Source organism: Homo sapiens, chromosome 1 (assembly GCF_000001405.40).
Source record: "Homo sapiens chromosome 1, GRCh38.p14 Primary Assembly".
NCBI classification, from domain to species: Eukaryota; Metazoa; Chordata; class Mammalia; order Primates; family Hominidae; genus Homo; species Homo sapiens.
In genome coordinates, this window is record NC_000001.11 from 113110229 (window position 1) to 113132260 (window position 22032).

The 22032-nt window shown below is 41.7% G+C and overlaps 1 protein-coding gene and 1 pseudogene across 5 annotated transcripts in view; one reads left to right on the plus strand and one right to left on the minus strand.

Annotated features, from left to right (window-relative positions):
- The window catches only part of LRIG2 (leucine rich repeats and immunoglobulin like domains 2), a 59063-nt gene extending 37031 nt beyond the window's left edge, over positions 1-22032 (plus strand). For 4 of the 5 annotated variants that reach the window (NM_001312686.2, NM_014813.3, XM_024451227.2 and 1 more), the window contains 6 exons: positions 14-334; positions 2251-2532; positions 4199-4648; positions 6059-6208; positions 9005-9295; positions 13647-22032. In NM_001312686.2, the coding sequence (NP_001299615.1) occupies positions 14-334; positions 2251-2532; positions 4199-4648; positions 6059-6208; positions 9005-9295; positions 13647-13873 (1721 nt within the window). In that variant the 3' untranslated portion in view covers positions 13874-22032. The remainder of the gene's footprint in view (positions 1-13; positions 335-2250; positions 2533-4198; positions 4649-6058; positions 6209-9004; positions 9296-13646) is intronic. The other variant, XM_005271369.3, reaches the window with a different exon arrangement.
- Positions 15264-16727, minus strand: RLIMP2 (ring finger protein, LIM domain interacting pseudogene 2; annotated as a pseudogene).

A 22032-nucleotide genomic window follows, 5' to 3' on the forward strand; every position in this document is an offset into this window, starting at 1 on the left:
TTTTTCCCCTTAGATGATTTTCTCAAGCCACAGATAAGGACACATCCTGAAACCATAATTGCTCTAAGAGGCATGAATGTGACTCTGACGTGCACTGCAGTGAGCAGCAGTGATTCACCCATGTCCACTGTGTGGCGCAAAGACAGTGAAATCCTGTATGACGTGGATACTGAGAATTTTGTTCGTTATTGGCAGCAAGCTGGAGAAGCTCTGGAATATACTAGTATCTTACATCTTTTCAATGTGAATTTCACAGATGAAGGAAAATATCAGTGTATTGTTACTAATCACTTTGGTTCTAATTATTCTCAGAAAGCCAAACTGACTGTAAATGGTAAGGAATTATGCTCCTTGATTTTTTTTAGTTTAGAAGGATTTTTCATGTTCAGTTTTGAATCACTTGAGAGAATTAGACTAAATCTGACATTTAAGTAGGACTCTTACTGTTATTGTCTTTTGAGTTGTGATAACTTATCAAGTGGGTGGGATTTTTGGATTAGTCAGTCTGCCCACTTATGGTCTCTAATTGGTCTTTGGTTGAAGGGTAAGTGCTGTGGCCCTAGGAGATGTGCTACTTTCACTGCTGTTTATGCTTTTGAAGACATTCTTATGAAATTCTCAGTTTTCATTCCAGAACCATAAATCTCTCTTGATAACTATGAAATTTATTCCTGATGGGCCTTCTAATAACTGGGAATATTTAGGACATTTTTGGGTCTAATGGTCATTATCATTGTCTAAATGTAGTTACACAGGATCATTTGTGTGTGTGTGTGTGTGTGTATTTTTATTTATTTATTTTAATTTCTCTTGTTTTTTGTTTTGAGATGGAGTCTCGCTCTGTCGCCCAGGATGGAATGCAGTGGCATGATCTCGGCTCACTGCAAATTCCGCCTCCCAGGTTCAAGTGATTCTCCTGTCTCCTGTAATTCGAGTAGCTGGAATTACAGATGTGCGCCACCAGGCCCATCTAATTTTTGTATTTTTAGTAGAGACAAAGTTTCACCATTTTGGCCAGGTTGGTCTCAGACTCCTGAGCGCAAGTGATCCGCCTGCCTTGGCCTCCCAAAGTATTCGGATTACAGGCATGAACCACTGCACCCAGCCTTATTTCAGTACCTTTTGGGGTACAAGTGAGTTTTTTTCCCATGGATGAATTATAGTGGTGCATTCTGAGAATTTAGTGCACCCATCACTGAGTAGCGTACATAGTATCTAATGTGTAGTTTTTTATCCCTAGCCCCCGCTCACCCTCTCCATTCTGAATCTCTAACGTCCATGATACCACTCTGTATGCCTTTGTGTACTCATACTTAGCTCCCACTTATAAGTGAGAACATATGGTGTTTGGTTTTTCACTCCACACAGGATCATTTTAAAAATGAATACTCTTCTTTCCTGCAAAAGCTTCTTAAAAACAGCTTGATTTATCTATTGCCTATTAAATTGAATAACTACAACATTTTAGGGTTTGTACAACCAAAAGATGTACTTATGTTTTGCTTCTGTGTTTTTTAATGATACTTTTGAAGGCATAAGTTTTTTTAGCATGCAGTTTCCTTGATAGCTTTGTAGATGTTGGTTTGGGAACATTTTTGAGATGGACTCTCACTCTGTCATGCAGGCTGGAGTGCAGTGGTGTGATCTCAGCTCACTGCAGCCTTCGCCTCCTAGTTTCAAGTGATTCTCCTGCCTCAGCCTCCCAGGGAAGCATCATTTAGCTTCATAAGTGAGAGAGTCATAGTAAATACCAGGTTCTAAAATACGAAGTTCAAAGAAGGTTTGTGGCCTTCTGCTTTCCCTAGTTCCAGCTGATGATTAAGTGTATCATGCATCCTAGAAGACACAGTCATCAGTGTGCTCCAAATACTCTGAGGTTCTGGAAGAAAAGATGTTCTCAAAACCATATTCACTCTTGGCTGGGTGCTGTGGCTCAGGCTTGTAGTCCCAGCACTTTGGGAGGCCAAGGTGGGAGGATAGCTTGAGGCCTGGAATTTGAAGCTGCAGTGAGCTATGATTGCGCCAGTGTACTCCCGCCTGGACAGCAGAGCAAGACCCTATCTCTAAAGTTTGTTTTTGTTTTTTTAAATTTATAAAACTATATTCACTCTCAATCAGAGAGCCTGTCTTCACAAAGAAATGGAACATTAGGGGGTGTCTTGCCTACTAGATTCTTTCATGCCTATTTGTATGCATATATGTGTCTTTGTTCCCTTGCCCACTTTTTCTTGGTGATTTTTCTGGAAACAGAGATGCCATCTTTTCTGAAAACGCCAATGGATCTGACTATTCGCACTGGTGCCATGGCCAGATTAGAATGTGCTGCAGAGGGACACCCTGCACCTCAGATTTCCTGGCAGAAAGATGGTGGTACTGACTTTCCTGCGGCTCGAGAAAGACGCATGCACGTCATGCCCGAGGATGACGTCTTCTTTATTGCCAATGTGAAAATAGAAGATATGGGAATCTATAGCTGCATGGCACAAAATACAGCAGGAGGTCTCTCAGCAAATGCTTCCCTAACAGTGTTAGGTACGTTTACTGCTCCATGGGTCCCTGCTTTTGTTGGAGTCTTTGGGAGCTACTCTTGGTCTTAATGAGCAAGAAAAATAAGTTTGAGATTACCTCTGTGATTCTTAGATCTTTATCTTATTTCACAATTTTATGCAAGGTTATGTCAGTCTAGGAATTAGTGGGTCAGATAACTGAAATGTGGGAAAATACATAGGGCAAAATTAGGTAGGCATCCTTGTCACAATAATTGAAAGTTCAAATTCCTTTATCAGCTTATCTTTTTAAGTCCCTCTCTGTAAGGTTTCTGTTTCATGTAGGTGTGTTTACTATTCACTGAGTTTGCATTGAGAGTTCCACTGTTCTTTTAGGAGTATCCCAGCCATTTGATGCTGCTTCACTTATTGCTTGATAGGAACCTAAGACTATTTAACTGTTTGCTCCTAGTTCATTTTCAAAAAAAATTTAATACAAAAAAAAAAAAAAAAGATGTGTTTTCTGGTTAGAGTTTCTGCTTTCCTTTTCAGTGTGTTCTTCTTAACCCTATTTCTGGTAAAATGCCTTTTTTCCTAAAAATTTTCCCCTGCTGGCCTGGGTTTTTTTTGTTGTTGTTGTTTGTTTGTTTTGTTTTTTCTTCCTTATTACAATACTTTTCTTCGTGGAACTCAAATCCAGGGTAAATTCTACTTTCCAGTTCTCTATTTTCCTATATGTCAGTTATTATTATTATTTTTTTTAAGTTTGTTGGTTTGTATTGTTTACTTGTATAACCAGAAAAATAAGAAGTCATTTATTTATTTATTTATTTATTTATTTATTTATTTATTTATTTATTTATTTTGAGACGGAGTCTCATTCTGTTGCCCAGGCTGGAATGCAGTGGCGCAATCTCGGCTCAGAGCAACCTCCACTTCCCGGGTTCAAGTGATTCTCCTGCCTCAGCCTCCTGAGTAGCTGGTACTACAGGCATGTACCACTGCGCCCAGCTAATTTTTGTATTTTTTTTAGAGACGGGGTTTCACCATGTTGGTCAGGCTGGTCTCGAACTCCTGACCTCATGATCCGCCTGCCTCAGCCTTAGAAAAATAAGTCATTTATTGTTTTAACATGTTAAGATATACAGAAAATTAGGAAAAGGGGAGGAAAGTCACTCAAATACTTAAGGATTTTAGCATATTCTAGACTTTCCCCTCTCACTTTTATGTAGTCAAATATACCTACATTTTTTTCATTTAATATTGTACCACAAGTTGCCTTGTTATTAAAGTCTTTGTAAAAGATCATGTGACTATAATTTACTTAATCATTTTTCTGCTAGATTTAAAAATGTTTTTCTTTATTCTTTAAAGTTACACATTTTGTAGTAAACATCTTTGCGTATAAATCTTTGAATTTCTTTTTTTTTAAGTTATTTTTAATCTTTTTTAATGGGTCACCGCTGCTCACCCCCTCCAGCTATTGCAGCTGCCCTGAACTTCTTTCTTAGGATAGCTTGCCTAAGCTGGAATTATCGAGAAAAGATTGAGGCTTTTTTCAGGATTTTGTTCTGAAACATTAACTTCTAATCCTCCCATGAGTATATAAAATTACTCATTTTATTATACCCCCATTGGTCTAATTCAGTAGAAATTAGGGAATAAAATTGCCTAACTTTTCATTTTTTTTTTTTTTAATGTTTTCCTGTTAGAGACACCCTCATTTATTAGACCCCTGGAGGATAAGACAGTAACACGAGGTGAAACTGCGGTGTTACAGTGCATAGCTGGAGGGAGTCCTGCCCCTCGTCTCAACTGGACTAAAGATGATGGGCCTTTGCTGGTGACAGAACGACATTTCTTTGCTGCAGCCAATCAGCTTCTCATCATTGTAGATGCCGGGCTAGAAGATGCTGGGAAATATACCTGCATTATGTCTAACACCCTTGGGACAGAACGTGGCCACATTTACCTAAATGTCATTTCATCCCCCAATTGTGACTCTTCCCAGAGTAGCATTGGGCATGAAGATGATGGCTGGACCACAGTTGGCATTGTCATCATTGTTGTGGTCTGCTGTGTTGTTGGCACTTCTTTGATCTGGGTCATTGTTATTTACCACATGAGAAGGAAAAATGAAGACTATAGTATCACAAACACAGGTAAGTAGTACCCACATGACACCTATGGCTTGTACTTCAGTCAAGAATGTAGTATAGGATTAATTGTACAATATAAAAAACTGAGAGCTGGTCATAGTAGCACATGCCTGTACTCCCAGCTACTCAGGAGGATGAGGTGGGAGGACTGCTTGAGCCCAGGAGTTCAAGGCCCACCTGGGCAACATAGCAAGACCTCATCTTCCCCCTCAAAAAACTGAAGAGCTGTGATACATTACCTGATATGTGATAGAAGGGAGTTTTTGTTGTTAAAATGTTCAACTTCTTTGATATAACAGAACCTCTTTGAGGAATAGGTTCATAACAGAACCTCTTTGAGGAAAGAATTTTGTTTATTTGAGATAGGGTGTTACTGTAATGCCCAGGTCAGAGTGTATCGGTACATTCATGGCTCACTGCAGCGTTGACTTCCCAGGCTCAGGTGATTCTCCCATCTCGGCCTTCTGAGAAGCGGGGACTATAGGCATGTGCCACCGCGCCTAAGTTTTTATATTTTTAGTAGAGTCGGGTTTTGCCATGTTGCCCAAGCTGGTCTCAAACTCCTGGGCTCTAGCAATTTGTCCACCTTGGCCTCTCAAAGTGCTGGGATTACAGGCATGAGCCACTGCGTCTGACCAATTTTAAGAATTTGTAAATTTTTTTTTTTTTTTTTGAGATAGAGTCTCGCTCTGTTGCCAGGCTGGAGTGCAGCGGCATGATCTTGGCTCAATGCAACTTCCACTTCCCGGGTTCAAGCGATTCTCCTGACTCAGCCTCCCGAGTAGCTGGGACTACAGGCGTGTGCCACCATGCCCAGCTAATTTTTGTATTTTTAGTTGAGACGGGGTTTCACCATGTTGAACAGGATGGTCTCAATCTTTTGACCTCGTGATCCACCCACCTTGGCCTCCCAGAGGGCTGGGATTACAAGCGTGAGCCACCACGCCCGGCCAAACTTTACTTCTAAAAACGCATTACAGATGCATTCTTTTTAATGTCTAAGGCTCCTTTTCATCATAATTTTGCTGTAAGGAAGAGTGGAGCCCTTGTGATTGAGATCAGTCTCTTTTTTTCCCTTGAATATCAAACTGGATCATTGAGGTCAGTCTTTTACACCTCTCACCCTGGAATCCTGCAAGAAAAGAAATCTAGGCAGATAGATTATGAAAGTGTGGCAGTAGATAAGATTTCAACCTTTAGGTTTTGTTTCTTTCAATGAAACTTTTAAAGTGAAGCTTTGAGAAGAATTCTAGTGAGAAATAGTTTTAGGGGAAGTACCAAGAGCTGTTGCGGTCCTAGGTACGTACAGTTTTTCTTGCTAATAGTATCAAAGTGGAACACATTTGCAAAATAGTCTTCTGAGTGTTGGCTTCAACTGCCTACCTTTGAGAGTTAAAAATGTCTCTTTTACAGAGGAGCTCAATCTGCCTGCAGACATTCCCAGCTACTTGTCTTCCCAAGGAACGCTGTCTGAGCCACAGGAAGGCTACAGCAACTCTGAGGCAGGCAGTCATCAGCAACTTATGCCTCCTGCCAATGGATATATACACAAAGGCACTGACGGTAATGACTCTGTTGTTTATGGTTACAATTTCAGCCTATTCTATTGAGTTTACTTTTCAGTGTGTAGTTTCTCCATTAATCTGAAGCAATATTTTAAAGTAAGATACCTAATGAAAGCATTTAGCCACATGCAAAATAGGATGAAAATTGACTAAAGTCTTAAAAGGATATGAAAATCATCTTACAGAGTGGAGAAACACATTAAACAAGAGATCAGAGTACACAGCAGAGGCTCCCAAACTTGTGTAATTATAGGAAAGGGATATTCTGCAAACTTTTTTCAGGTATCTCTTTCTTACCCTTTTCAGGCGTGGGCATCCTTCAGACCACATCCAAGGGAGGCTGGTTTCTCTTCCTGACAGGTAGACATTCAGTAAAGTTTAAAGGGTAGCTAGGAGCCAGGCATGGTGGCATGCCTGTAGTCCCATCTACCCACGAGGCTGAAGCAGGATTACTTGAGGCCAGGAGTTCGAGGCTGTATTGTGCTGTGAGTGCACCTATGAATAGCCACTGTACTCTAGCCTGGACAACATAGCAAGACTCCCCACCTCTAAAAGAAATCAACAAATGGTAGCAATGGTTCTCAGCATATACTGGAGAACATCAGAGAGATGTAAAGAGTTCCCTAATTAAATGAACCTGACATCCCAACACGTAGAGATGCGTACCCATACACAGAGTTCTTCTCCCTCCACCCTTTTCATAGCCTCGCTCCCATAGGGAGTGACAGAACTGAATGAATTAAGGGACAGAAGAATTGGGTTTAATTGATACTTCTTCCTTTTTCCAGCTCTGTGACCATGAAGCTAGTTACTTAAGATCTGAGCTTTACTTTTCTAATTTTTAAATAAAGAGACAATAATTTGTAAAGCACTTCCCCCAAGATTCTCACAGATCTTTTCAGCAAATCTGTGTGGTACTTCAAATACTATACAAATGGAAGATTTATTCCATTTCTTCAGAGACTTTTTTAGGCTGGGTGTCAACAGAACTTTATCTAATTGATAAATTGGATTTTGGCTTTTCATGAAAAATATAGTAGTTCTGACTCTTTTTTTTGTTTTTGAGAAAGCGTCTCATTCTGTTACCCAGGCTGGAGTGCAGTGGCACGATCTCAGCTCACTGCAACCTCCACCTCCCAGGTTCAAGCGATTCCTCTGCCTCAGCCTCCTAAGTAGCTGGGATTACAGGTGCGTGCCACCATACCCGGCTAATTTTTGTATTTTTAGTAGAGACGGGTTTCACCATGTTGGTCAGGCTGGTCTTGAACTGCTGACCTTGTGATCTGCCTGCCTCAGCCTCCCAAAGTGCTGGGATTACAGGCATGAGCCACCGCACCTGGCTGGCATTTCTGACTTTTAAAAGAATACTTAAAAGTCTGTTCTTTGAAGTATGTGGGAAATAACACTGCTTTCTGGGTTAAACTAAATTACTTTTCACTCTCTTCCAATTCTAACATTCTGTTGCATGATTTTTTTTTGTTTGTTTTTTGGTTTTTTTGAGACAGAGTTTCATTCTTGTCACCCAGGCTGGAGTGCAATGGCACCATCTCAGCTCACTGTAACCTTTGCCTCCCCGGTTCAAGCGATTCTCCTGCCTCAGCCTCCTGAGTAGCTGGGATTACAGGCACCTGTCACCATGCCCGGCTTATTTTGTATTTTTAGTAGAGATGGGGTTTCACCATATTGGCCAGGCTGGTCTCAAACTTCGGACCTCAGGTGATCCACCTGCCTCGGCCTCCCCAAGTGCTGGGCTTACAGGCATGAGCCACTGCTCCTGGCCTGTTGCATGATTTTGAATAAGTAACTCACTCTTTATTTCTCACTCTCTCTTCTCTCCTTCATCATTCAGTTTTCAAAGCACATAATAATCCAGGGAGTTCATTGTTAAACCTATACTTCTGTCAACCATGTACTTGTCAGGCAGGACTTCTCATTGTCAGAAGCTTTCCCTAGGGATGCTTGTAGCAATTGGTGTTACTTAACCTCTTGACTCATTAAAGTAACATGGTTTTTCATGAAGTGAAGTCATCATAACTCCTTATTCTCTGACTTAGTTTGCTTAAGCCAAGCATGTGTCTTGTAGCACAGTACCAGCCTTATCTTGCTCCCTTGATTTGGGCATGATCTGTCTATCCACAATAGACAGAGATGGTTCAGTGTAGTTTTCAAGAGCATGGGCTCTGGAGCCAGAATGGCTGTTTCTGCTCCTCACTCTGGCAGTATGACTTTGTTTTTTTTTTTTTGGAGACAGAGTCTCGCTGTGTCGCCCAGGCTGGAGTGCAGTGGCGTGATCTCGGCTCACTGCAAGCTCCGCCTCCCGGGTTCACGCCATCTTCCTGCCTCAGCCTCCCGAGTAGCTGGGACTACCGGTGCACGCCACCACGCCTGGCTAATTTTTTGTATTTTTAGTAGAGATGGGGTTTCACCGTGTTAGCCAGGATGGTCTAGATCTCCTTACCTTGTGATCTGCCCGCCTCGGCCTCCCAAAGTGCTGGGATTACAGGCGTGAGCCACCGCACCCGGTAGCGGTATGACTTTGGTTAAGTTACTTAACTTCTCTGTGCTTTAGTTTACCCTATCTGTAAAGTGGGGATAATAATAATACCTACCTCATAGGGATGTTGTGAGGATTAATGAATCAATTCACAGAAATGGCTTGAAACTTCACCTACTTTATAAAGTAAGTGCTCAATACATGCTAGCAATGATGATGACAACTTTTGAAGAAAACTGACGATTGGCAAAAAATAATTCCTTAACAGAAAGATATTTAGATTCTTTTTCTTGTTATTAGGTGGCACTGGTACCCGGGTGATTTGCTCAGATTGTTATGACAATGCCAACATCTACTCCAGGACCCGAGAATACTGTCCATACACCTATATTGCTGAGGAGGACGTTCTTGATCAGACACTGTCCAGCCTCATGGTCCAAATGCCTAAAGAGACATATTTAGTACATCCTCCCCAGGATACTACTGCCCTAGAGAGCCTGATACCGTCAGCCAACAGAGAGCCATCTGCCTTTCCCACCAACCATGAGAGGATAAGTGAGAAGAAACTTCCCTCCACACAGATGAGCGGTGGTAAGGGATGTATTTTTGTTGTTATTTTGTTTTTACTTTCGTCTAATTGACTCTTCCTTCTATCATATAGGTAGTGCTCTCATTTGACAGGAAGCAAGCAGATGGGTATATAGGAGTAACTGGCCATTGTTAAATGGTATAAACTATAGCCAGAGATTTCTGCATACTAGAGTTACAAAGAAGTCTTCATCTATAGGATGGAAACAACTTTTGTGGGGGTAACAGGATCACACTACTGAAAATTCAGAGGCCATACACAAAAAGCTTTTAAAAGGTTTCATACAGGCTATTTATTTATTTATTTGAGACAGAGTATCACTGTGTCATCCAGGTTGGAATGTAGTGGTGCAATCTTGGCTCATGCCAACCTCTGCCTCCCTGGTTCAAGCAATTCTCATGCCTCAGCCTCCCAAGAAGCTGGGACTACAGGCGTGCACCACCACACCCAGCTAATTTTTGTATTTTTAGTAGAGGTGGGGTTTAACCATGTTGGCCAGGCTGGTCATGAACTCCTGACCTCATGTGATTGCCTGCCTTGGCCTCCCAAAGTGCTGAGATTACAGGTGTGAGCCACCGCACCCGGTATCATATAGGGTATTAATTTTTCTCCGATCTTTATTTAAATAAAAGAATAAAATATGGGGGGCCGGGCACAGTGGCTCACGCCTGTAATCTTAGCACTTTCGGAGGCCAAAGCAGGTGGATCATTTGAGGTCAGGAGTTTGAGACCAGCCTGGCCAACATAGGGAAACCCTGTCTCCACTAAAAATACAAAAATTAGCCTAACATGGTGGTGCATGCCTGTAGTCCCACCTACTCGGGAAGCTGAGGCACGAGAATCACTTAAGCTCGAGATGGAGGTTGCAGTGAGCTGAGATCGTGCCACTGCACTCCAGCCTGGGCAACAGAGTGAGACTCTGTCTCCAAAAAATAGTAATAATAAAATTTGGGCATAATTTGGTGATGGTTTTTACTGAGAAGATTTTTTTTTTTTTTTTTTTTGGGAAATGGAGGTTCGCTCTTGTTTCCCAAGCTGGAGTGCAATGATGCCATCTCGGCTTACCAGGACCTCCGCCTCCCGGGTTCAAGCAATTCTCCTGCCTCAGCCTCCTGAGTAGCTGGGATTACAGGCATGTGCCACCATGCCCAGCTGATTTTCTATTTTTAGTAGAGATGGGGTTTCTCCATGTTGGTCAGGCTGGTCTCAAACTCCCGACCTCAGGTGAGCCACCCACCTTGGCCTCCCAAAGTGCTGGGATTACAGGCATGAGCCACTGTGCCCGGCCTACTGAGAAGTTTTTTTTTTTTTATTTGAGATGGAGTCTAGCCCTGTTGCCCAGGCTGGAGTCCAGTGGCGTGATCTCAACTCACTGCAACCTCTGCCTCCCAGGTTCAAGCGATTTTCCTGCCTCAGCCTCCTGAGTAGCTGGGATTACAGGCATGTGCAACCACAACCGGCTAATTTTTTGTATCTTTATAAGATGGGGTTTCACCATGTTGTCCAGGCTGGTCTCGAACTGCTGACCTCGTGATCTGCCTGCCTTGGCCTCCCAAAGTGCTGGGATTACAGGCGTGAGCCACCATGCCTGGCTGAGAAGAGTTTTAAATGTTTTGTTTTGTTGCTGTTTTAGCAGGTAAACATTTAATTTCAGCTTCACTTGGCGGGTGTTTTTTTCTATGAGGTATGATCAAGGTCATAAGTGAGAACGCAGTTTTGGGCTTGTGTCCCCTGTCTCACATGGCCCAGGAAAAGAAATATACATTATATTGTATAGATTAGGCATTTGATAACCTACTTGGCATTTGAAACAAAACTCTTTCTAAATCATGAAGAGTAATGCTGAGCATGTGTGTCTTCCTGTCCATCCAAGCTTTTCATCAGCTTTCATCCTTCTGTCAGCCTGACATGGAAGAGCAGTGGAATAGGGTAGGAGGTCAGGCTGGGCATGGTGGCTCACGCCTGTAATCCCAGCACTTTGGGAGGCTGACACGGGTGGATCATGAGGTCAGGAGTTCGAGACCAGCCTGACCAACATGGTGAAACCCCATCTCTTCTAAAAAAATTAAAAATTAGCTGGGCGTGGTGGTGGGCGCCTGTAATCCCAGCTACTTGGGAGGCTGAGGCAGGAGAATCACTTGAACCCAGGAGGCGGAGCTTGCAGTGAGCTGAGATTGAGTGATTGCACTCCAGCCTAGACATCAGGGTGAGACTCTGTCTCAAAAAAAAAAAAAGACAGGGTAGGAGGTGAGAACTACAGGTTTACAGAGGAAGGCAAAGTATACTGTGATACTCCCGGGGATGGTTCTGGCAGGAGTGAATAATCTAATGTCCCATGTTAGATTATGTCCCACAGGTTACAGGATCATGCTTTTGATTTTAATTTTAGTAGGACTTGGAACATTCAAGATGGTAGTGAGGGCACATGAAACTCTTCAGGATGAAATCTGGGCAGAGACTTATTAATTAATTTTGCATTTACTACTTCATGTCCCACATTAGATCATTTACTCCTGCCAGAACCATCCCTGCAAGTATCTGAGTTAGGCTCACCTTTTTTTTTTTTTTTTTTTTTTTGAGATACAGAGTCTCGCTCTGTCGCCCAGGCTGGAGTGCAGTGGCACGATCTCGGCTCACTGCAACCTCCGCTTTCCGGGTTCAAGCGAGTCTCCTGCCTCAGCCTCCTGAGTAGCTGGGATTACAGGTGCCAACCACCATGCTTGGCTAATTTTTTGTATTTTTTTTAGTGGAGACAGGGTTTCACCATGTTGGCCAGGCTGGTCTCAAACTCCTGACCTCAGGTGATCCACCCACCTCAGCCTCCCAAAGTGTTGGGATTACAGGCATGAGCCACTGCACCCAGCCTCTATTGTTCTTAAGAGATCAAAGACTTCTAAAGAGGTACAGGTCAGAGGAAAGCACTATTACTGAAGTTAATCTCTTATTTTTACATTAAGTGTTCATGAAAGAAATGCATCAACAGTAAATCCACTTTTACTGTTGGATGTCTTAGAAGAGTTAATACAAAAAGGGTTTAAGAAGGACCAGAAATGTAGTCCCATCTTTTTTGTAACTTTGGGGATGCCTTCATTTTTAATCTGGTCCGTAAGTAAGGAAATCAGCAAATGAGAGTGCTTCGGCCCATTGGCGATTTTTTATGTGGGGTATCCTAGCTTCTTCTTACTCGAAGTCTGGTCTGTTGACTATCAGCATCACCGTTACCTAAGAGCTTGTTAGAAATGCAGAGTAATGACCCCAGAGCAGATCTAGCAAATCAGAGTCTACATTTTAACAAGATCCTCAAGTTATTTGTGTGCATATTAATTAAAACTTGAGAAACCCTGCTCTAGCTTACTTTTCACATGGATTTTATTTTTATTTCTGGGTATTTGTTTTTATAATGTTTGGCTAGCTTTTTCTAAAATGTACCCTATGAAGTTAATATAACTTTCAGTAAACAGTCTTTGGGAAAATAGTTCACCATTGTAATTAAAGAAGAATGAGAAATGCATATTTGAAACCAGTGTGCAGATAATCTGATTTAATACAGCTCCTTTTGACTATCATTTGTTGTTAGAATTGTTGACATGCTAGGAGTTGGAAGGGAATGGCTGTTTATTTTTAAAACAATTTTGTGACATATTTAAAGATATAATGGCTGCACTGAATCAATGATTATTACCTATCATGAAACTTTCATTACAATATGGATACCATTTTGTCTTTTAGTTCTTTTCCATGTGTCTAAAGAGTTTTATTTAAAAATTTTGTGGCCGGGCACGGTGGCTCACGCCTGTAATCCCAGCACTTTGGGAGGCTGAAGCAGGCGGATCACCTGAGGTTGGGAGTTCAAACTAGCCTGGCCAACATGGTGAAACTCCTGTCTCTACTAAATATACAAAATTAGCTGGGCATGGTGGCACATGCCTGTAATCCCAGCTACTTGGGAGGCTGACGCAGTAGAATTGTGTGAACCCGGGAGGCGGAGGTTGCGGTGAGCCGAGATGACGCCATTGCACTCCAGCCCGGGCAACAAGAGCGAAACTCCATCTCAAAAAAATAAATAAATAAAATAAAAAATTTTGTAGCAACAGAATCGCTAAAATAACAGGTGACAGTAGACGATATATAGTATGATCTCAGTAAATAATTGGTTAGGTTTGTGAAGTAGAGGGATTTGAAAGACCATGTTCTGGTGGTGGTTTTTGTGTGTGTGTGTGTGTGTGTGTGTGTGTGTGTGATTTCAGTGTCCCTATTCAGGAATATTGAACATCTTTATTTCTTTGAGGATTTGGCTAAAAGGATATTAAGTTTTACCAGTCACTACTGATAATTCTTGTCTTTCATTCTCAGAAACATTGCAGCGGCCCGTGTGGAACATAAACAGAGAACTAGGCCTGCCTCATCCTCCTTTTTCCCAGCAGCCAGTCCATGAGTCACCACAACTTCATCAAAATGAGGGCCTGGCAGGGAGAGAGCCAGACTGTTCTGCTTCTTCCATGTCCTGCCACAGGTTACAGGATCATGCTTTTGATTTTAGTAGGACTCGGAACATTCAAGATGGTAGTGAGGGCACATGAAACTCACTTCAGGATGAAATCTGGGCAGAGACTTATTAATTAATTTTGCATTTACTACCTCAGAGCTCAGAAGAAACTCCGAAGTCAGCATTTGCTTTACTCTTTCTTTATGATTGCATCTGACCGCACCAAGGTGGGCCATGCGTTGTTTGGTCTTATACCTGATGAAGAAATGGCAACAGCTGACAGAAATGGGTACAGCTCATCAAAAATGTGCAGCACCGGCAGAGGGAAGATACGGGGCAAATGTGCTTCCTGATGCTTCCATGGGGATGTGCCCTGGTGTGCATCTGCTTGTCAGGAAGAGTCACATTGCTGCTTAACATGCTGGATTGCCCTAGTCTTCAGAATGGTCCTGAGAAAACATCACTACTTCGATGTTCTACTTTGCTTTCCAAGGAGCAAAAATAACTTTGGAGCCTTCTGGGAAGTGTGCCTGGGATTCTTCAGTGGTTTCAGGCAGATAGTTGAGACTGGGGCTTTGATATTCAAGGTCTTTGGCAAGAATCCCAGGCTTGACCAACTGGTACCAGGTCAAAGATTTTTGTATTCTTGTGAATTTTTTTTTTTGTCCCTATTGCCCAGGGATGTCATTGTAAATATATGTGCATTTATAAATAATTTTTGTATTCATTGACCATATGTGTTGGCTGCAATGTAAATATTTTTGATATGCCAAAATTATATGTAATATCCAGTTATAATATTGACAAGTAGCTTCTCAGATCACAGATTTTAAATAACTCAATTTAGTGAGATCTAAAAATTTTATTTAAAGTATAAAAACTGTGGCTCACACCTGTAATCCCAGCATTTTGAGAGGCTAAGGTGGGAGGATTGCTTGAGGCCAGGAATTTGAGACCAGGCTGGGCAACATGGTGAGACCCTGTGTCTGCAAAAAAATAAATTAAAAAAATAGGTGGACATTGTGGCATGCTGCTGTAGTCCTAGCTACTTGGGAGGCTGAGGTGGGAGGGTCACTTGAGCCCGGGAAATCAAGGCTGCAGTGAGCTGTGTGAAGCCACTGCATCCCAGCCTGGGTGACAGAGTGAGGCCCTGGCTCAAAAGTAAAATAAATAAATAAAAAGTTTTAAAAACTTACTTGTTAAGAAGTGTATCTATAGAGGCAGCTACTTAGTGATTGTATACACATAAACACAGTCTTGGTGTAATTAACCGCCTTCTTCATGCCTAGAGGTTCATACTTCTGGTCATTTGCCATCTGTTTAAAAGTGCTAGGTGATACTCCCTTTCTAACATAAAAAGCTTGTTCTTTCAGAGCCTGGCAGTCCTGTCACAGCTGTATGCACCTAGAGGAAAACTTGTTTGGAAATTCCTTTCATTTCCTCCCCCTCTCCCTCCTTCCCTCTTTTTTTTTACTGAAACAGAAATTGATTGAGGAAGGTTCAGTCATTCCTTCAGGAACCAATGAGTTAGATCGGGTTGTTACTTTATGTATAATGAACGCTTCAAAAACTGGAGGCTGATTTAAAGATTGCAGAACTTGAGTCAGACTCATAAGCAGTACTGTGACATGAATTGGAGCCAGAACAGTTGCTGATATCAGAACCATCTCTTTCATTCTGTGACTTTGCTCTTGCCATGTTCTGACTGGGGTGAGCCGCTAGGATACAAATCACTATCACTGTCCATATTTGAGTCTGCAAATCTTGTCATTGTCTGCTTTAATGCTCTTTGAGTTGCAACAGGTGTATTATTTAAATGAGTATTTGAAATTCTGTGAACAGGAATTCTTTTGGTAGTGAAATAGGTGCTCACACCTGCTTGCTCAGAATGTGAAAATATTATTTCTGAGTTCTCTTTGTTCACTTTCTAAAGTGACTGTTGTTTGGTGTTGGAGATGTTAACTGGGTTCTATTAGGTGTGCTATATCTTGGCAAATATTCCCCATGATGAACTCTTCCTACTATCACAATCAGGACTATGACTGGATTTCTCAGTCTCAGTGCCCCAGATTCACCATTTCTGATTGTGTCTGGAGAACGTTTTCCTGGAAAGGCATTCCATGTTCCAAAAGCTACAAAAACATGCCACTTTGCAACTATGGGTCAGTTATTTGCTCTCTCAATGTCTCATGTTGCTGAGTTCTAGAAAATCTCTGTCTCATTTACCAGGGGTCATTCAAAAGTCTGAGATGTATATTATCATGAAATATTTGTGAAATTTCTCACCATGAATTTGGAGGGAACCTACTTTTATTTCTCGCTCTGGTTCTCCATTGGTCTGGGCTCCTGCTTCTCAGTCTTCTCTGACCTCTGGTAAGTGGAACTTTCATTAATACTTCTGTCGCACTTTGTACCTGACCTAGGTGGCCTTGCAAATGTTGACTCAGATTGTGGATTTTCCACTTTCCTCTGTTTTCCCTATTTTCTCCCCTGGGAAATCTTGCAGATGATGCATATTCATTTTCTGTATTCAGCCTTCCATTATTAAGGATAAAATTGATCCCTACATTGAATCTGAAATTACCACTATATGGATTACTCTGGCTCACTGCTGTCCAAGCTTGGTTTTCTCTTTGCTTACTTCCTGTCATATTTTCAGTTTGCCCAAAAGAGGTAAGCCACTTTATTACAGACCCATTACTAGTGCTAGACGTCATCCACCTCTGTTTTCACCTGATTCTTGTGGGGAATCCTCTTTAATTTGTTGTAACCTTCTCAGCAACTCTTCTGTACTTCACCTATAGTGCCTAGCAAATTGTTATCACTCATAAGCCTGTAATCTTCATCACTCAGGTTATTTGCAAGTAGAAAGCTTCTGGAACCATTTGTCCATCCGACTTCTGCACTGGGCCACATCCATCTTCTTCATTGTCAGAATCTGAGTTTTCTGTCTTGAAGAACAGCTGGAAAGTTGTCTGGCTGTTATGACACAGTATTGAAATACCAGACTGAGTTTCAGTTGTTTCTAGTTGTGTTCACTTTGTGCTTTCTCTGAATGGGAATATCTTCTTTCAGCAAAGTTCTTCATTGACCAGGAAACCAAAGATTGCTTCTTTTCCAAGTTTGTTTTGTTTTTAATCTTTTACCAATGTGCAGTATATCTTAAGAAGGGAAGAGTGCTCTTGGGAGTAGAAGAACATGCAAACATTCTTTTTTCTTTATTATTATTTGAGATGGAGTCCCTCTCGGTCACCCAGGCTGGAGCGCAGTGGCATGATCTTGGCTTACTGCAACCTCCGCCTCCCAGGTTCAAGCAATTCTCTTGCCTCAGCCTCCCAAGTAGCTGGGATTACAGGCACACCACCATTTCCAGCTTTTTTTTTTTTTTTTTTTTTGATATTTTTAGTAGAGATGGGGTTTCACCATGTTGGCCAGGCTGGTCTTGAACTCCTGACCTCAGGTGATCTGCTTGCCTTGGCCTCCCAAAGTGCTGGGATTACAGGCATGAGCCACTTGCCTGGCCCCAAAATTCTTATACTGTAAAGCCTTGTAGTGGTCCTTATTTTTTTTTTTTTGAGACGGAGTCTCGCTCTGTCACCCAGACTGGAGTGCAGTGGCACAATCTCGGCTCACTGCAACCTCTGCCTCCCGAGTTCAAGCCCTTCTTCTGCCTCAGCCTCCCAAGTACCTGGGATTACAGGCATGCACCACCATGCCCGGCTAATTTTATTTGTATTTTTAGTAGAGACGGGGTTTCTCCATGTTGGTCAGGCTGGCCTCGAACTCCTGACCTCAGGTGATCCACCCGCCTCGGCCTCCTAGAGTGCTGGGATTACAGGCGTGAGCCACCGAGCCCGGCCGGTCCTTATTTTATACAAGTGATTAAGCCAAAAATTTTCTTGAATTTCTGATACCAAAGAGCTTTAGGTAAATAACTTCACACTCTAATGCAATGTAATTCTTTCTTTGTGCTTTCAGATTTCCTTACACTTCCTGTCCAGTTCTCTCTTCTAAATCCAATATTACTCACTAGATAATTTCAGCCACTTAAATAAAAATATCTATTTTTAAGTCCTGGTTCAAGGGTTCCAAACTCACATAATTTCTCAACTTTTTGCCAGAAAGTTGAGCATTTATTCATACTTATTTTCAATCCTAAGTGTTCTCCCATGGGCAGCAGCACTTCTTGAGCTGTTTAGTACTGCCACACCTTTTTATGTCTTTACTATGTCAGCCTCTGATCATTTTCACTTTGAACTTCCTAAAGATCACAATTTCCTATCCCTTCAATCTGCGATCCCTCTTCTTCCTTTCTTACTAGATTATGGTGTAGTTTGTACTAGACTGACTCATTAAGACCTTGTACGCTTCCTGAGTCTGCTTATTACTGGCTTTGTAATCAAGGGTGAGTCTTTTTACTTCTCTAGGCTAGATTTTCTCATTTATGAAATGAGGACATTTTTCTAGATGCTGTAAAGCCCTTTCCAGCTGTAACATTCTATGAATCTGTAATTCCCTCGAGGAGCTAAGGAGGATTATGCTACTTTAATAAAAAGCTGCTTTGGTGACATTTGTTCGAGTAGAACAAGAGTGATGCTGCTCATTCTGACTTGAGCCAGATGTATTTCCTTTATAGCAGGAGTAATGGTCTAAGAAATACTCATTAGGAGAAAAAAATTCTGCTTCTAAACAGTATTAGTAAACAAAGAATCTTGACTCAGTTGAAAAACCACCCATTGCTCTCTAGAGCAGAATGTCTGAATGCTGGTTTTATAGCACACTAGAATATCAGAATGAGTTGACAGGTATACCACAACTAATTTGTAACTAGTTTGTGACTCACCTTTCTAATGTATTCGAAGTTATCCCTATAATTATATTACTCTCGCTCAAATTCTGATAGATTTCCTGAATGGAATAGGTGGAATTAGGGCTAGGCTGCCAGAGACTGTGCCAATGAGCATCACCCGTCATGTGTGAGAGAGCAGAAGATAGCCTGTGAGCCAGTGCTCTAGAAAACATCATGTAGGAGGCCGGTCACGGTGGCTCACGCCTGTAATCCCAGCACTTTGGGAGGCCGAGGTGGATGGATCAAGAGATCGAGACCATCCTGGCCAACATGGTGAAATTCCACCTCTACTAAAAATACAAAAATTAGCTGGGCGTGGTGGTGCGCGCCTGTAGTCCTAGCTGCTCGGGAGGCTAAGGCAGGAGAATCACTTGAACCTGGGAGGCAGAGGTTGCAGTGAGCCGAGATTGCACCACTGCACTCCAGCCTGGTGACAGAGTGAGACTCCGTCTCAAAAAAAAAAAAAAAAAAACCCGTGTAGGAGTACTGCCTCTCTGCTCTAGCAGTGGTCCTTCTACTGACAGTGCTGTCAGAGTCTGGTCTCCTAAAGAGCCAGGTCATTTTCCATTGTGTCAACTCAGATGGTTGAGATGTCCTTAGATATTCCTAGCTTGCCTAAATAACTAGTCAGCAATCTATTTAAATGTGAAGAGCCTATCTCTGGTCTTTAAATAAACACACACACACACACACACCCCTAGGAAAAGGAATTCCTGAAACTTTTCATTATTGCATATGTTTCTGATCAAGCAATATGTTAACCCTCTAAGTAGGATTAGTGTCCCATGAGTATTTCTTCCAGCAGAATCATGTCTGCCTAATGCTAATCAGGAATGTTGCAAACTGAAATGCTCCTTTCCCCACTGCCCCCTAATGACCACTTTCAGGAGGAATACATACATTCTCTTGATTTGTTTGTCCCCTTTCAGGCTGATTCTCCACTTCCACCTGGAAGAAAAGACAGTATTCCTTGAACTCCATGACCTACTGGTACAGGATCTACACTTATGCCATTGGCTTTCTGTCACTCCGCAACTTGTACTTTTTTTTTTGAGACAGGGTTTCACCCTGTCAGCCAGGCTGGAGTGCAATGGTGTGAACGTGGCTCACTGTCGTCACTGCAGCCTTGATATCTCAAGCCCAAGTGATCCTCCCACCTCAACCACCTGAGTAGCTGTGCCACCACACCCGGCTAATTTTTGTATTTTTTGTAGAGATGGAGTTTCACCTTGTTGCCCAGGCTGATCACAAACTCCTGGGCTCAAGCAATCTCCCCACTTAGGCCTCCCAAAGTGCAGGGATTATAGGCATGAGCCACCGCACCCCGCAGTACTTTCCCTCGTATACAAGCTACTCTCCTGAAAAAAATAGCAGGAACCCATTCCAATGTCCAAGCTCCCCTAAAGTGCCAACTCAGAATAACTTTCATGTTTAAAAACAGCTGTCTTCACATTGCCCATTGTGAGGTTGTAAAAGGAAGTTAAGATGTCAAGCAATTTAGATTCTGTTACCCATTTCCCTATGAAAAGAGATGTGTTAAAAGTCTTTAACTACTTAAAGGGTCATCATGAAAAATAAGAATTCTATTCCAGAAGACAGAGTTATACACAGGGAGGTGTATTATATACTTGCTAATAAATTTTTGTGTAGGCTCTTTAGTAAATTTATCTGATAATGGAATAATCAGCCTTTTTGGTGGAAAGGTACATACAGAAGCTAAATCATCATCTGTTAATAGTGTTTAAGAGATTTCTTCATTGAGATGGAATATGGGCAAGATGACCTTTAAGGTCTTTTTCACTTTTATCATTGGAAATCCCCAGAAGCAATCTGATAGTCTTAAAACTTTGTCCTTTCTAAGTCCTTTGTATTCATTTTAGAGCTCTTCAGGAAACTAGAGAATTTTGGACTTTGGTTGACAAAAGCGGTCTGACCTGTGTTCGTAGCTGGGAACATGAAACACAAAATTCTGGGTTTAATCTTCTGAAGAAATCTATAAGTAGTTACTGGCATAAATGGTATTACTATACTAACAAATTTAAAAGCCTATAATGTATTAAAACTCTTTTTTACTCGATTACTTTTATTTTTTTAAGACACAGTCTCGCTTATTGCCCCGGCTGGAGTGCAGTGGCACGGTCTCAGCTCACTGCAATCTCCGCCTCCCAGGTTCAAGCGATTCTCCTGCCTCAGCCTCCCAAGTAGCTGGAATTAATTACAGACGCCCACCACCATGCCCGGCTAATTTTTGTATTTTTAGTAGAGATGGGGTTTCACCGTGTTGCCTAGGCTGGTCTTGAACTCCTGACCTCAAGTGATCAACCCACCTTGGCCTCCCAAAGTGCTGGGATTACAGGCATGAGCCACTGTGCCCAGCCCTCTTGATAATTTTTATTCTTGTTTCTTCTTATCTGTGGGACTCCAATTAGAATGGGGTTGAGATTGTGGCATTCAGTTTTATACCAATATTTTACCCAAGTGTGTCATGGCCTTTTTTAATCATTTTAATATCCCCAGAAATGCTAGAAGTGTAAAGGAATAACAGAGGTAAATTTGCTGTCATTTTATGCCACATCCTCTTTTCTTACTTTGCTTCTTGATACAGATTATAGAGGTAATTGTGAAGACAGTTGAACCTTAGAAGATTGAGCTAAGATTCTTTTTTTGGCAACCTGCAAGTAATGTTTCATTTTTCTATTACGTGATCTCTTTGCCCATACAGTTGGCAGATGTTTTTTCCCCCTTTTTCTACCTTAAACTTTTTTGTTTGGAGTACAGTCTAAACCAACATCAGTTAGCCTTGATTTTCTTTCTTTTTTGGACAATTGTCTGGTTCATTGACAAAAGTAACAAGTTTGGAACTAAGAGATATGTTACAAGCTGCACTTAACACCACCTGAAAACCCAAGAATCATCTGAAGGTTTTGTCAGTAGTAAGGTAGGTTTTGTGTGTGTGTGTGTGTGTGTGTGTGTGTGTGTGTGTGTGTGAAGATGGAATAGGGTGAAGGTGAAGAAACAGCTTGACTTGTGCCTGTTTTCAGATAAAGGAGTAAAGTGATCTACAAACTGTAACTATCTTGAAAGAGAAATTGATCATCAGATGGTCGAGTACTCTTGGAATGTCTCTTTGCTGTTTACTGTGGCCTCTTTACAATGGTGAGACTTATTTCTACCCTCTACTTTCCACTATTATTTTTTTCCCCTATTGGATAATACTAGTCTGAGCAGCCCTAATACTAGATGTACCTAAACAGAGATACAAGCCAAGTCATTGTTCAGTGTAGTCATTTCTTAGTATCTGTTTATATTTTGTCACACATCAGAATGTATATTTTATAGAGCATGTGTTTGTCTACTTGTTTGTCTACTATAATATGTCTTTAATAAAGCTAAAAACATTCTGA